The sequence below is a fragment of the Homo sapiens genome, chromosome 2 (assembly GCF_000001405.40).
Source record: "Homo sapiens chromosome 2, GRCh38.p14 Primary Assembly".
NCBI lineage: Eukaryota > Metazoa > Chordata > Mammalia > Primates > Hominidae > Homo > Homo sapiens.
Window position 1 is genome coordinate 42,451,748 of NC_000002.12, and position 17,089 is coordinate 42,468,836.

Here is a 17,089-nt window from a genome sequence, read left to right on the forward strand (position 1 = left end):
AAATTAGCAGGGAGTGGTGGTGTGTGCCTGTAGTCCTAGCTACTTGGGAAGCTGAGGTGGGAGGATCCCCTGAGCCCAGGAGTTCAAGGCTGCAGGGAGCCATGATCTTGCCACTACACTCCAGCCTGGGCAACAGAGTGAGACCCTACCTCAAAAACAAAAACAACAACAACAACAACAACAAAGATACAATCAAGAGTGAAAGGGCAACCTACAGAATGGGAGATGATATTTGCAAGTCATTTATCTGAGTAAGAATTAATTTACAGGACATACAAAGAACTCCTGCAACTCAGTAACAACAACAAAAAAAATCAACCCAACTAAAAAATGGACAAAGGATTTTTTAGATTAATTTTTTATTTTTAATTTTCATGGGTACGTAGTAGGTGTATATATTTATGGGTTACATAAGATATTTTGATACAGGCATGCAATGCATAATAATCACATCAGGGTAAATGGGGTGGTAAATATATATATATATATATATATATTTTTTTTTTTTTTTTAAAGGAAACAGAATTTTGCTCTGTCACCCAGGCTAGAGCATAATGGAGCAGTCATAGCTCACTGCAGCCTCAAATTCACCTAAAGCATTTATCCTTTGTGTTACAAACAATCCAATTATACTTTTTTAGTTACTTTAAAATGTAAGATTAAATTATTTTTTTACTATAGTCACCCTGTTGTGCTAGCAAATACTAGGTCTCACTCATTCTTTCTAACTATTTTTTTTTTAACCATTAACCATACCCACTTCCCCACCACCCCCGCTACCCTTCTAAGCCTCTGGTAACCATCCTTCTACTCTCTATATTCATGAGTTCACTTGTTTTAATTTTTAGCTCCCACAAATAAGTGAGAACACAAGAAGTATGTCTTTCTGTGCCTGATTTATTTCACTGAAAAAAATGACCTCCAGTTCCATGTTGTTGCAAATGGCAGGACCTCATTCTTTTTTATGGCTGAATAGTACTCCATTGTGTGTAAGTACCACATTTCCTTTATACATTCAACTGGGTGTGTGTGTGTGTGTGTGTGTGTGTTTTGAGATGAAGTCTCACTCTGTCACCCAGGCTGGGGTGCAGTGGTGTGATCTAGACTCACTGCAACCTGCGCCTCCAGGGTTCAAGAGATTCTCCTGCCTCAGCATCTTGAGCAGCTGGGACTACAGGTGCATGCTACCATGCCGGGGTAATTTTTGTATTTTTAGTAGAGATGGGGTTTCACCATGTTGGCCAAGCTGGTCTCGAACTCCTGACCTCAGGCAATCTGCCTGCCTCAGCCTCCCAAAGTGCTGAGATTACAGGCGTGGGCCACTGTGCCTGGCCACATTCATTTGTTGATGACACTTAGGTTGCTTCCAAATCTTGGCTAACATGAATAGTGCTGTAACAAACATGGGAGTGAGTGCACGTATCTTTCTGATATGCTGATTTCCTTTCTGTTGGGTATACACCCACTCAACAGTGGGATTGCTGGATCATATGGTAGCTCTATTTTCAGTTTTTTAAGGAACCTCCAAACTGTTCTCCATAGTGGTTGTGCTAATTTACATTTCCACTAACAGTGTATGAGGGATCCCTTTTCTCCACATCCTCGCCAGCATTTGTTATTGTCTGTCTTTTGGATGAAAGCCATTTTAACTGGAGTGAGATGATATTTCATTGTAGTTTTGATTTGCACTTCTGTGATCATCAATGAGGCTGAGCACGCACCTTTTCCATATACCTGTTTGCCATTCGTATGTCTTCTTTTGAGAAATATCTATTCAGATTTTTTGCCCATTTTTAAATCAAATTATTAGATTTTTTTTCCTATAGAGTTGTTTGAGCTCCTTATACATTCTGGTTTTTAATCCCTTGTCAGATAGGTAGTTTGCAAATATTTTCTCCCATTCTGTGGGTTGTCTCTTCACTTTGTTGATTCTTTCCTTTGCTGTGCAGAAGCTTCTTAATTGGGTGTGATCCCATTTGTTCATTTTTGCTTTGGTTGCCTATGCTGGTGGGGTACTGCTCAAGAAATCTTTGCCTACTTGAATGTCCTGGAGATTTTCCCCAATGTTTTCGTGTAGTAGTTTCATAGTTTGAGGTCTTAGATTTATGTCATTAATCCAGTTTGATTTGATTTTTTTAATATAGTGAGATAAAGGGTCTAGTTTCTTTTGCATATGGATGTCCAGTTTTCCCAGCACCATTTATTGAAGAGACTGTCCTGGACAAAGGATTTGAATAGATATTTCTCCAAAGTTAATAAGGCCAATGAGCATATGAAAAGATGCCCAACATTATTAATCATCAGAAAAATGCAAATCAGAACCACAATGAGGATGGCTACTATACCAAAAAAAAAAAAAAAAATCACACCAGAAAATCACAAGTGTCTTGAGCACTGTTGGTAGGATTGTAAAAGGGTACATCCACTATGCATAACAGTATGGAGGTTCCTCGAAAAATTAAAAATAGAAATATCACATGCTGAAGTAATCACGCTTCTGGGTATATATCCAAAAAAATTGAAAGCAGGGTCTTAAAGAAATATTTGCACACCCACTTTCACAAATACAAATGAAGCATTACTGACAATAGTTAAGATGTCGAAGCAACCTTAATGTCCACTGACAAAAGAATAAATAAAGAATCTATTTGGAATTTAATATTGAATTTAAAATTGGAATATAGCTGGGCATGGTGGCTCACTCCTGTAATCCCAGCACTTTGGGAGGCCGAGGCGGGCAGATCACCTGAGGTAAGGAGTTAAAGACCAGCCTGGCCAACATGGCAAAACCTCGTCTCTACTAAAAGTACGAAAATTAGCCAGGCGTGGTAGTGGGTGCCTGTAATCCCAGCTACTCGGGAGGCTGAGGCAGGAGAATCACTTGAACCAGGGAGGCAGAGGTTGCAGTGAGCCAAGATCGTGCCATTGTACTGGGCGACAGAGCAAGACTCTGCCTCAAAAAAAGAAAAAAAAAAAGAAAGAAAGGAAATCCTGTTACGTGGATGAACCTTGAAGACATTACGTTAAGTGAAATAAGCCAGTCACAAAAAGACAAATACACTGTGATTCCACTTACATGAGGTATCTAAACTAGTCAAATTCACAGAAACAAAAAGATGGTAGTTACAGGCAGCTGGGAAAAGGTGAAAGAGAAGAGTTGTTTGATGGGTACAGGGCTTCAGATTGGCAAGATGAGATGAAAAAGCTCTGAAGATCTGTTTCATAACAATATGAATATATTATACTTAACACTACTAAATGGTATACTTAAAAATTGTTAAGATGGTAAATTTTATATTATGTATATTTTACTACAATTTTAAAGAGCAAACATATGAGCAGTGATGGAATACAAATCTATGCCCCCAAGAAGGCTAGAGCCTTAATACAGAACTTTTTTATCTTTTATGTTCTTTATATTTTGTAGAGCTGAGATCTCGCTATGTTGCTCAGGCTGGTCTCAAACTCCTGGCCTCCCAAAGTACTAGAGGCTACAGGTGTGAGCCACCACGCCCAGCAAGTTGGACTGCTCAGCCACACTACCCGTGGGGTCAATGGAAAAACAAAAACAAAAACAGTACTGACTTTGACATTAATTAATTTTTGACTTACATTCTGCTTTACCTCAGAAGAATTGAACGAGATTGTTCCTGTCATTAACACCAAACAGAACCTGATTAAAATTTAATATTACAAGGACAACTATGAAAATTAATATAAAAAACAGCTGTGGCTGGCCCCAATAGTTCATGTCTGTAATCCCAACACTTAGGGAGGCCAAGGCAGGAGAACTGCTTGAGCCCAGGAGATCTTGGAATACAGAGAGATCTCACAATATAGTCAGATCTCATCTTTACTAAAAATTTTCAAAAAATTAGCCAGTGTGGGGCATGTGCCTGTAGTCCCAGTTACTTGGGAGGCTGAAGTGGGAGGATCACTTGGGCCCAGGAGCTTGGGGCTGCAGTGAACTATGACTGCTCCATTACACTCCAGACTAGGCAACAGACCAAAATCCTGTCTCTTAAAAAAAATAAAAATTAAAAATTAAAAAATTATATATATGTATGTACAGCTGAAAGCTGAATCTGAATAGCTGACTTGAAAAAGCTAAATGAATTACACAAGCAATAGGCCAACACAGAAAACCACCTAAAATAATAATTATATACATATAGTTATTATATACCTATAATATGTGCATATATAATTATATTACATTTAAAATAATATATAGTATATTTTAAATATAGTACAATATCATAATGTGTAAGAATATAAAATAAGGAAATGTTATATGAATCCAAACTCCAATAACTTTGTTACTTACTAATCATATTTACACTGAAATAGAATTTTAAGATAAAACTTAACAGTTTTGGCAGGGAAAAATGAAATTTATTTATAACTTCTTTGAAGCCATAAATATTGAATCATCAGTATAAGATGAAAGGCATAGACTGCAATCATTTTTTAGCCTCTCCAAAAATAATATGGCTAGGTGCAGTGGCTCACACCTGTAATCCCAGCACTTCAGGAGGCCAACGCAGGAGGATTACTTGAGTCATCTTCTTAGTAGTTCGAGTCCAGTCTGGGCAACATGTCAAAACCCTGTCTCTACAAAAAATACAAAAATTAGCCAGGCATGATGGTGCATGCCTGCAGTCCCAGTTACTGAGGAGGCTGAGGAGGAGCACCTGAGCCCAGGGCTGCAGTGGGCCATGATCGCACCATATATTCCAGCCTAAGCAAGAGTGAGACCAGCCTCAAAAAACAAACAAAAAAAGATTTGTGACCATTATTATTACTGCAAACCATCTCTGAGCTCAGAGCCTTCTATTTACAAAAGGAGTTCAGTTCAAGCCCAACTTAAAAACATTTTAAAAGAAAGTAAACAGTATGCCCAACTAGAAGAGCAATCACCATAATCAAGTCATCAGCAGCTTAAATCAGCCTTAACAACCCCAGGAGTGCCACAAAAGGAAAAGTTACCTTCTTACTCCAAGCCTTCAGATTTAAATGTACAAAGCATTTCCAATCACATTTCTAACAGGCATGTACAATGTAACAACACAAGGCACAATAAAAATTTCCAGCAAACTGCACATCAACAGCCACTTCATTACCTAGAGTCTTTCATGTCCTTATAAGAGTTTTCTCCACAACAATTGGTTAAATAGGAAAAAAGTAGGGTTTTTTTGAGAGGAAAAAAACATGATTTTTTTCTTACACACTTTAATTATCTTACAGAGAAAAAATATATACCATTCATACCTCTTTATCTTCCAACCTAGATCAATAATAAATTAAAACACATAATTGAACACTTATTCAAGTTCCAAACATCTTTCTATACATTTACATACTAATTCACTTAATTCTCACAACTGTATGCAATAGGTTTTGTTATGATCCCCACCTACAAATGAGGAGACTAAGCCAAAGAGAATTGACTAGTGGCCAAGTGCGGTAGCTCATGCCCGTAATCCCAACACTTTGGGAGGCCAAGAAAGGCAGACTGCTTGAGCCCAGGAGTTCAAGACCAGTTTGGGCAACGTGACGAAACTCCATCTCTGCAAAATACAGAAAAAAAAAAAAAATTAGCCAAGCATGGGGGCACGCGCCTGTACTCCCAGCAACCTGGGAGGCTGAGGTAAAAGGGTTCCTTGAGCCTGGGGAGGTTGAAGCTGAAGTGAGCTGTGATTGTGCCACCGCACTCCAGCTGGGCGACAGAGAGACTTTGTTTCAAAAAAAAAGAGAGAAGTAACTAGATCATGTCACACAGATAATAAATGGCAGGTTAATAATATTTACAAGGCTGGCCAGGCACGGTGGCTCATGCCTGTAATCCTAGCACTTTGGGAGGCCGAGGCAGGCAGATCTCACACACACACACACACACACACACACACACACACACACACAAGGCTGGGCGCAGTGGCTCACACCTCTGATCCCAACACTGGGAGGGCAAGGCAGAAGGATCACTTGGGCCCAGGAGTTCGAGGCTGCAGTGAGCTATGATCACACCACTGCACTCCAGCCTGGGTAACAGAGTAAGACCCTATCTCTAAAAAAAAAAAGAAATGTACAAAGCCAGGTGTGGTGTCACGCACCTGTAGTCTCCTAGCTACTTGGGAAGCTGAGGAAGGAAGATCACTTGAGCTCAGGCTTCAAAACTAGCCTGAGCAATATAGTGAAACCCCTCATCTCAATATATAAATAAGTAAATTTTAAACAAACAAAATATATGTACTCACTGACTAAGTCATACCTTGAATCACGCCTGGGATTCATGGATGTCCCTATATAGCTACAGTCAATGTATGTGTTAATTTTTACATTCCTCACTTGATACTATTTTGTTTCCTCATGCTCACATTTGGACGGCCATTTCATTAGGATATGTGGCAGGACAACGATAATGATGAATGAAAAGTTCACTCTCTCAAAGTCATTGGGATTGGCCACAGAGAACTGGGCTCCTCCCACAGTTTTTAAGGGGCTGCTATTATTCCGTCGGATCTCTTTTCCTGCAATCACCTCCACCTTTGCTTTTCTCACTTTCCCTTAGCAGACAGGAACATGCGCCCTTGCCTGAGGAATCTGGCCTCTGCCTCCTAAACACAGTTTACCCTCTGTGGTTCCTCTGTCCTCTGTTTTGGCAACAGAGGTACCAGATTCACATTCTCTCTTTATTGGGAAACAGGGACTGATGACCCCCTACAAAGAAACAACCAAGTTCCTGACTGCAAATGCAAAGGCAACAATACCTGTCCTGCTAAGACAGGGGCTATCCATCACATATAAATCTCCATCAAAGTGTGTTTCTGTGAAAAATTACAGGCAATTACTACAAATAACCCTTATCTTTTCTGACTCCTTTTGGCATAATTCAATATTCAACCCAAATATATGACCTAAGTGCATTGGAGTGTCTGCAGTGTAGCCCGAGGTAGTGTCTTGCAAGGAGTTCTGTCCTGCTAGTGTGAGCTTGTAGAGACAGACTTTAAAACCTCAGAAAGAAGCAACATAGGAGACCCCATTACTTAAAAAAGAAAAAAAAAAGGAACCTCAGGAAGAAACAGTTTTGATATTATGTCAGTGTGGGGTAGGCTTTTGTTTCTTAAACTTTTAGAGATGAAGAACTGAGACCATTCAACATACAAGAGAAGACAGAATGGCCAGACGCCTGAAATCCCAGCACTTTTTGAGGCCAAGGTGGGTGGATTACCTGAGGTCAGGAGTTCAAGACGAGTCCGACCAACATGGTGAAACCCCATCTCTACTAAAAATACAAAATTAGCTGGGCGTGGTGGCACACGCCTGTAATCCCAGATACTCGGGAGGCTTAGGCAGGAGAATCGCTTGAACCCGGGATGTGGAGGTTGCAGTGAGCCAAGATCGCACCACTGCACTCCAGACTGGGCAACAAGAGCGAAACTCCATCGTCTCAAAAAAAAAAAAAAATAGAGAGAGTGAGAAGACAGAATGGTATTATGGTTTTATGACCCCCCAGATACCCAGCCCCATTCACCATCAGCCCAAAGCCAGTTCTGACCCGCTCCACATCCTCATCTACCTCCCTCATGTCTTATTTTGAAATAAATCTCAGAGTGTGGGCATTTATCCCAGAGTCCTTTCTCACCCTCCCTGCCTGGCAAGTCAACTAATGTGCACAAAGGAGGCACGAAATGTGCATGGCTTCAGTCTGAGTCTGTTGAGACAGGTCACTTGTAGCCAGGATGATGCAATGTCCTCAAGTCAGGATGGGATGACAACATATTAACCTGGATGTGGCTGTAAGCCCATGGAGCCCATTAATTCATTCACCATGCAACAAAGCTCATGAGTGACTGCCTAATGTATGTCAGGCTCTACAGAGCCACAGAGAGGTGCATAAAGATAAACTAAAGATAGAACTTAAGCACAGTTATGTAAGATGTTATCGGCCGGGCGTGGTGGCTCACGCCTGTAATCCCAGCTCTTTGGGAGGTCAAGGCGGGTGGATCATGAGGTCAGGAGATCGAGACCATGCTGGCTAACATGGTGAAACGCTGTCTCTACTAAAAATACAAAAAATTAGCTGGGCATGGTGGCGGACACCTGTAGTCCTAGCTACTCGGGAGGCTGAGGCAGGAGAATGGTGTGAACCCGGGAGGTGGAGCTTGCAGGGAGCCGAGATTGCACCACTGCACTCCAGCCTGGGCAATAGAGAGAGACTCCATCTCAAAAAGAAAAAAAAAAAAGATGTTATCATTGGGGAAACCAGATGAAGGGTAAAACAGAACTCTCTGTGCTGTTTTTGCAACTTCTTGCAAGTATAAAACTATTTTAAGCCAGGCAAGGTGGCTTACATCTGTAATCCCAGCACTTTGAGAGGTTGAGGTGGGAGGACTTCTTGAAGCCAGGAGTATGAGACCAGCATGGACAACATAGCAAGACCCTTATCTCTACAAAAAAAATAGCAGGCATGATGGTGCACGCCTGTAGCCCTAGCTACTCAGAAGGTGGGAGAATTGCCTGTACCCAGGAGTTTGAGGCTGCAGTGAGTCATGATTATACCACTGCACTCCAGCCTGGGCAACAAAGCAACACTCTCTCTAAATATAAATCAATTAACTAATTAATTAATAATTAAATCATTTCAAAATAAAAAGATTTTTAAAAGAAGATAAAACAGACTGAAAGTTTGCGACCTAGCAAAGGGTAAGATATACCCTCCCTAACAACAATCCAATCCTTAAGAACTCAAAAATAGAATGTAGAAAGTAATAAATGCTATAATTGATGTGCATTAAGTTCAGAAGAAGATAAGTTTTTCTTCATCTGGGAGACCACGGAAAGCTTCTTTGAGAAAGTGGCGATTTAATTTGGCAAAAACAAAATCAGGAAAGTGCCAGATACCTGATGAAGTAAAAGCAATTACATTTAAAAAGTTAACAAAACAAAACACAGATGTGAGCAGATGCCCTACATAGATTAAACAGGTACACGACACTGGGCCACTGACCAGTGTTTAGGCTTCCCCTAAATGGAAAGGCAAGTGAAGAAAACAAAAGGCACCCCAAAACATCTTACAAAAAAATGGCTACTCTGACTATTCCTTTGATTTTCTTAACTGATAAAAAGGTAGGCCAGGCGCGGTGGCTCATATCTGTAATCCCAGCACTTTGGGAGGCCGAGGTGGGCAGATCACAAGGTCAGGAGATTAAGACCACCCTGGCTAACGTGGTGAAACCCCGTCTCTACTAAAAATACAAAAAATTAGCCAGGCGTGGCAGCATGCGTCTGTAGTCCCAGCTACTCGGGAGGCTGAGGCAGGAGGATGGCGTGAACTCAGGAGGTGGAGCTTGCAGTGAGCCGAGATCACGCCACTGCACTCCAGCCTGGGTGACACAGCAAGACTCTGTCTCCAAAAACAAAACAAAACAAAACAAAAAAAAAAAAAAAAAAAAAAAGGTAGACATCATCTTCTAGGAGCTAATTTACATAAAGAATTTCATCCATCCCATGCATCAGTGTTCGTGTTCATTACGCTCTAACAGAGGACTTGGGTTGCTTTTTCCTTAGCTCTGAACTGGCTCCATGGACAAACCAGAGGTGTTTCTGTGTGCGCCTTGCCTGAGGCTCTTGAGAGTCAGAAACTCTCAAGATTTCTGACTGACCCAGAAATCAGGGTGCACTTCTCTTCACCAGAGCCAGGGAGTGTGTTTTCAGAAGACTACCATGCTGTAGAGGACATATGCATACAGGCGAAGAGATCAAAAATCTGTGGTTCTGACTCTCACTGCTAAAAACTTTCCAGAGATGACAGCAGCAGAAACCCAGGCCTGACAGCACCTGTGGTCCCCGGCCCCACACTCTCCACTCCGGGTGGGCCCCCTTAATCTTCAGGTGCCACAATCCCTTTCTGCACCTTCACCACCACCCCAATGTACATATATTTGCCTAAATAATACAAGAAGATCAATCTCAATAATCTGTTCCTATTCCATACATGACTACCACATGGGTTCTATTCCCTTTTTATTTAACTGGCAGTTCATTAGTAAAAGAATTATGAGACTAGAAAGGATATCAAGATCTACCTCTTCAAACAAGATCACCTTACAAAAAGTGATAACAATTCTTTTCTTTAATAGTATATTACCATTTTGGCTTCAAGATAGTTTTTATCTACAGAACAACTTGGGAAGATGAATTTCAACAAATGATATTTTTAATTTTTTGAGGTTTCAATATTTTATTCAAGTTTTATTTTAAGTGATGTTAATTACAGCACTTGAAGGGGAGGATCTAATTCCACACAAAATGAAAGACTCTAAAATGTACCCATTAAACTGCTAAAAAATAAATTGAGTGGTGAGAATGCAACAGAAGTCCAATTTAGATTTTAAGTGTTGTCACCATGTGATTACAATCACACAACCTCTCCCCAGCTTATAGCTGGAGCTCCTGGAAGCTATTTCATACTCTAGTGCAAGGGCAAAAAAGCACAACAAGAGAAGGAATTCAGTCCTGAATTATCAGCTTCATCAGATCCACCCTCTCCACCCCAAAATGGTAGAAAAGAAGCAGCTATCACACCCTGCAGACCTTTTGGTATAAGACAGGTGATGAAGGACTGGGATGGGAACAGGTCATGAAGATCTGTCTAAAAAGATCCCTTAGCCGGGTGCAGTGGCTCATGCCTGTAATCCCAGCACTTTGGATTACTTGAGGTCAGGAGTTGGAGACCAGCCTGGTCAACATGGTTAAACCCCGTCTCTACTAAAAATACAAAAATTAGCCGGGCGTGGTGGCACGTGCCTGTAATCCTAGCTACTGGAGAGGCTGAGGCACGAGAATCACTTGAACCCACGAGGCAGACGTTACAGTGGGCTGAGACTACAGCACTGCACTCCAGCCTGGGCGACAGAGTGAGACTCTGTCTCAAAAATAAATAAATAAATAATAAAAATTAAAAAGTCTTTGTCAGGTGAATTTGTACACACCACGAAGCAATGAGCCTCTGATCAACTGGGGTTAGGAAACCAAGGTTCAATTATCAGGAAGTCACAGTTTCATTCATTTATTCAATACAAATTTACAAAGTGCCTATACATAATCATCTTCCACTTGCAGCCACTGCAAGATTTTTTTAAAACCTGGCATCTCTAGAAGGGCTACCAAATTCCCCCCAAGTCTACAGCTAAAAGGACCTTTTTTGGAATTGGGTTTCTTCTGTATGTCTGAAAAGGTAGCACTCTTTGAATCATCTTTAACCTGGAGGTCTAGCATGAAATGTAGCAATACTTGCATCTCAAATATATGTTAAAAGATACATTAAATTCTGAAGGTAGCTACACTGCAAAATAGTTTAAAATTAAACAACTGTACAGTATTCATTTGTGCTTGAAATTCTAATCCTAGACCAAGCTCATGGCCACCAGCATCGACGTTCTTGCCATCCAGCTGAGCTGACAGCATCAGCTTGATACTTGGCTTTACGGTCTGAGTGTACCCTAAACCTATCAGGCTAGGGTTGTACACTTTAGCCAAGAAGCAGGCATCAGGGTCCATCTGATACTTGCCTGCTGTAGTGAGTGTTATTGTTTCCTGATGAAGTGAGTGTTACTGTTTCCTGATATCCAGGCAAGCTTAACAGCAGTGTCCAACTTCTTATTCACCTCTGGGAAACAAAGGTGCCAAACTCTGCCCCGTCATTCACATAAGTGTGAAGCTGGAATTCATCAATCTTGTAGCCAAGAGTAAAGTCCCTCTGCTTCTCTTAAAACTCTGTGGTCTCAAAATTCATCCGGTAGCCATCCAGCCAGCCCTCATAACCCAGCACCAGGGCACCCCAGATTGAAGCCTCAACAATCCACGGTGCAACCCAGGTTGATATGCTCCTGCCTATAGCAGTTTTGATTTTAGCATTTTTTCCCCCCAGCATTAGGTGACAAGCGATGAATCAAAGGTCAGCTTCAGTCCACATGCAAGCTGATCCTCCACGCAATCTCGGTGCCTGGTGTGCGGTCAGTGTTTCATTTCTCCATAACTGTCAGGCCATATCTGGTCCATCTGTACTTGGTTCGCAGGCTGCCAGTCACTTTGGTGGCCTCAGTGTTGGCTGAGCCTAGTTTGTAAATTCTAATCCCTTCTCAGATTTTGTTTTCAAATCAAGTTTTATTAAGCCTAATCCACAGCCCTTGGTGAACACATCCCTGGCAGATTTGCCAAGATCAGCGTACGTGGGAGGCTTAACCATCTTCTGCTTAGAGGCGGTGGCAGTGGGCTCAGTGGTGGTGGCAGGCTCGGTGGTGGCTGCAGCGGGGGCTGCCTCAACAAATGACATTTTGAAAAGCGAGGTAGTTCATTCTGATATCATTATTTGCTATTTCCTAACAACAGGTAACTAATGTGTCCAGTGCTCAACTCAGATTATTCTTACTTAACTACTGTGTACTAGGTACTCACTGCAAACATTAGGACAATGATACTTCTACGCACACAAAGTTTCCAAATGTACATTAAAACAAGTTGCCCAGGTTGGTCTAGAACTGCTGGCCTCAAGTGATCCACCTGCCTTGGCCTCCCAAAGTGCTCAGATTACAGACCATGAGCCACTGAGCCTGGCCAAAACAAAAGATTTAAACAAAGGTAGGGATATTTCAAAGTATCTAGACTATAAGGTCTTCCTGAAACAATAAGCTAAGTGTTTTAGTCTATAGTCATGAATACAAAAACATTCGCAGTACTAAAAGCAGCAATACTCGAATACTCTGAGTACTGAGGTATTGCTGACTCCTAACTCTCCACAGATAACAGCTAAAATGCATGAGTTATCATCCAAAGCTTCAGATCTGCCACTCTCCGCCTTGTACCATCTGCTCCAACTAATGGAAAGTAACACAGTCCCCAGTCTTCTCACGCCTCTTGCCTTTGCACATCTACCCTCCCTTCTTGGCCAGCATCAACCAGGCCTTCAAGTCTGAGCTCAAGGATCACCACCCCAGGGAATCCTTATCTTAGGTCCACTAGCATGGCTGAGCTTCTCCCTGATGTTCCTACAGCAGTCAGTGCTTATCTCTAGCAGTGCACATAGCACAACGTGTAGTGGTTGTAAATTCAGCCGTCTGTCTCTCCAGCTAGGAAGCAAGTAGGGCTGTGTGTCTTTAAAAAAAACAAACAAAAAACACTATATTGCCTAATCATGGCACTTAATAGGTACCCAGAAAATACGTTGCTTGACTAAATTAATGGTACAAAAAATTTAATCATTAGAGAGTTCAACTGTTTTATCAGTCTAATGGAATATTTAGGACAAAATGATATATTTGGTGTGTTGATTTTAACAATTAGAGATAATGCATTACTATCCTTACTTCATACCACACACAAAAATTAATGAGAATGAGTGTAGTACTAAATTTAAAAGTGAAAACTTTAAGATTTTATTTTTTTAAGAGTATTTAATTTCTTTCTTTCTTTCTTTTTTTTTTTTTGAAACAGGGTTTGGCTCTGTCGCTCAGCCTGGAGTGCAGTGGCACGATCATGGCTCACTGCAACCTCTACCTCCCAGGCTCAGGTGATCCTCCCACCTCAGCCTCCCAAGTAGCTCGGACTACAGGTGTGCACCACCACGCCCAACTAGTTTTTGTATTTTTAGCAGAGACGGGATTTCACCATGTTGCCCAGGCTGGTCTTGAACTCCTGGGCTCAAGTGATCCACCCACCTCAGCCTCCCAAAGTGCTAGTATTACAGGAGTGAGCCATTGTCCTCAGCCTATAAAGATTTTAGAAGAAAACACAGGAGTAATGTTTGTGACTGAGCAAGTAGGCAAACTTTCTTACATAGGGCACAAAAAGTAGTAATCATGAAAGAAAATACTGATAAATTAGACTTCACCAAAATTTAAAACTTTAGTATAGTAAAAGACACCACTAAGAAAATAAATTGGCAAACCAAAAAACTAGAGGAAAATATTCACAACACATTTATCTGACAAAGGACTAGTATCCAGATTGTACAAAGAACTCCTGAAACTCAATAGCAAAAATAACCCATTTTTTAAAAAATAGGCTATGTGGACAAACATTTCACATAATAAATTATGTAAAAAGCCAATAAGCTAATGAAAATGATGATCAACTCTGTCATCAGAGAAATTAACACCACAATGAGACATTACTACACTTGAGACAGAATAACAAAAATTTGTAAAACCAATAACACCAAGTTTGTGAAGTAACTGAAACCGTATACAGTCATACACCACATAATGACATTTCTGTCAACAATGGATCGTATATATGACAGTAGTTCCATAAGATTATAATACTGCATTTTTACTATACCTTTTCTCTGTTTAGGTATGTTTAAATACACAAATAGGCTAGGCACAATGGCTCACATCTGTAATCCCAACACCTTGAGAGGCCAAGATAGGCGGATCACCTAAGGTCAGGAGTTCGAGACCAGCCTGGTCAACATGGTGAAACCCTGTCTCTAACAAAAATACAAAAATTAGTCAGGCGTGGTGGTGCCTGCCTGTAATCCTAGCTACTCGGGAGGCTGAGGCAGGAGAATCGCTTGAAACCAGGAGGCGGAGGTTGCAGTGAGCCAAGATCATGTGCCACTGCACTCCAGCCTCAGCAACAGAGAGAGACTCTGTCTCAAACAAACAAAAACAAAAACAAAAACGAAATACAATACACAAGTATTTACCACTGTGTTGTAACTGCCTACAGTATTCAGTAGATTCTGCATAAGCTTGTGGCCTAGGAGCAATAGGCTATACTATACAGCCTAAGTGGTGAAGTATGTAGCAGGCAGTACCATCTAGGTTTGTGTGAGGACTCTCTATGACGTTCACAGAGCAAAGAAATCTCCCAAGCATCTCCGGTCGTTATGCGACACACGACTGTGTACTGTTGGTGGGAGTACAGAATGGTAGACTGGTACAAAAGTTAATTGTGGTTTTTGCCATAGGAATTAGTGGCAAAAACTGCAAATACTCTTCCTTTTTTTTTTTTTTTTTGAGATGGAGTCTCGCTCTGTCATCCAGGCTGGAGTGCAGTGGTGCGATCTCGGCTCACTGCAACCTCTGCCACCCGGGTTCAAGCGATTCTCCTGCCTCAGCCTCCCTAGTAGCTGGGATTACAGGCACTTGCCACCACGTCTGGCTAATTTTTGTATTTTAAGTAGAGATGGGGTTTCACCATGTTGGCCGGGCTGGTCTCCAACTCTTGACCTCAGGTGATCCGCCCGCCTCGGCCTCCCAAAGTGCTGGGATTATAGGCAGGAGCCACTGCGCCCGGCCAAAAACAGATCTTTTATAAAAACATAAAAATATATTAAACCACTCCATGAAGATAAATGTGAAAATTTAGGTGAAATGGACAATTTCCCAGAAAAATGAATCAGACCAAAATTTTCAGTTTTAGAATAACTGGAAAAACTGAACGGTCCTACAATCATGAAAAAAATTGAATCTACACTTTGACATCTATTCACCAAAAGATGCATACCGGGTCCAGATGATTTTACAGGCAAGTTCTATCATATACCAAGCATGAATAATTCCTATTTTATATAACACTGTCCCAAATAATTAAAAAAGCAGTCACCAACTCATTTTAAAAAGTCAGTGAAAGGCCAGTCGCAGCAACTCACGCCTGTAATCCCAGCACTTTGGGAGGCCAAGGCGGGTGGATCATCTGAGGTCAGGAGTGCAAGACCAGCCTGGCCAACATGGTGAAAACCCATCTCTACTAAAAATACAAAAATGAGCCAGGCATGGTGGCACATGCCTGTAATCCCAGCTACTCAGGAGGCTGAGGCAGGAGAATCACTTGAACCCAGGAGGTGGAGGTTGCAGTGAACTGAGATCATGCCACTGCACTCCAGCCTGGGTGACAGAGTGAGACTCTGTTTCAAAAAAAAAAAAAAAATTAGAACCATGTGTGATGGCTCACAACAGTAATCCTAGCGCTTTGGGAGGCCAAGGCAGGCAGACTGCTTGAGCCCAGGAGTTCAAGACCAGCCTGGACAACATGGCGAAACTCTTGTCTCTACAAAAAATACAAAAATTAGCCAGGCATGGTAGCATGCCCCTATAGTCCTAGCTACTGGGGAGCTGAGGTGGGAGGATCACCCGAGCCTGGAGAGATTGAGGCTGCAGTGAGCCATTATCATGCCACTGCACATCAGCCTGGGTGACAGAATGAGACCCTGTCTCAAAAAAAAAAAAAAAAGTTACTGAAATGTTGATACCAAACCCAGACAGACAGTACAAGAGAGAAAAACTGTAGGCCAATCTTACTTAGAAACACAGATGCAAAAATTCTACATAAATTAGCAAATGTGATCCAAAAATGCATTTAAAAATAAAAATAAAAAGACAAGAATGCCGGCTGTCACCATTTCTCATCAGTACAACTCTAGAGGGTTTAGTCACTGCAGCAAGACAAAGGTATTATAAAGGTTGCAAAGACTGTCTTTATTTCCAGACAGTATCACTGTCTACATTACAACAAAAATAGACCCTTTGAATTATTAGAATAAATGAAAAGTACAGGTGCTCTTTGACATACAATGAAGTTAAATTCCAATAAACTCATCATAAAATCAAAAAATCTTAAATTGAACCATCATAAATTAGGGACAGTCTATACTGCTACAAGTAAGATGAAGGTACAAAATCAACTGTACAGCTATATCAGCAAAAGGCAGAAATTATAATTTTTAAAAAGGATATAATCAGCAATAGCAACACAAGTTATAAGGTACCTAGATATAAATCTAACAAAAGATATAAAATAATTTTTAGATGAAAATCATAAAACTTTATTGAAAGACATTAAAGAATAGTGGAGTAAGTGGAATTATATACTATGTTCATGGATAATAAAACTAAATAATGTAAAAATGCCCACTCTCAGGCTGGGCGCAGTGTCTCACGCCTGTAATCTCAGCACTTTGGGAGGATGAGGCAAGTGGATCACGAAGTCAGGAGTTCAAGACCAACCTGGCCAAGATGGTGAAACCCCGTCTCTACTAAAAATACAAAAAAATTAGCTGGGCTTGGTGGCAGGCACCTGTAAT

General features: G+C 41.1%; 1 protein-coding gene and 1 pseudogene across 3 annotated transcripts in view; both read right to left on the minus strand.

Annotated features, from left to right (window-relative positions):
* Nucleotides 1-17,089, minus strand: part of KCNG3 (potassium voltage-gated channel modifier subfamily G member 3) — a 105,631-nt gene that overhangs the window by 63,396 nt on the left and 25,146 nt on the right. The window lies entirely within an intron of this gene.
* Nucleotides 11,392-12,250, minus strand: VDAC1P13 (voltage dependent anion channel 1 pseudogene 13; annotated as a pseudogene).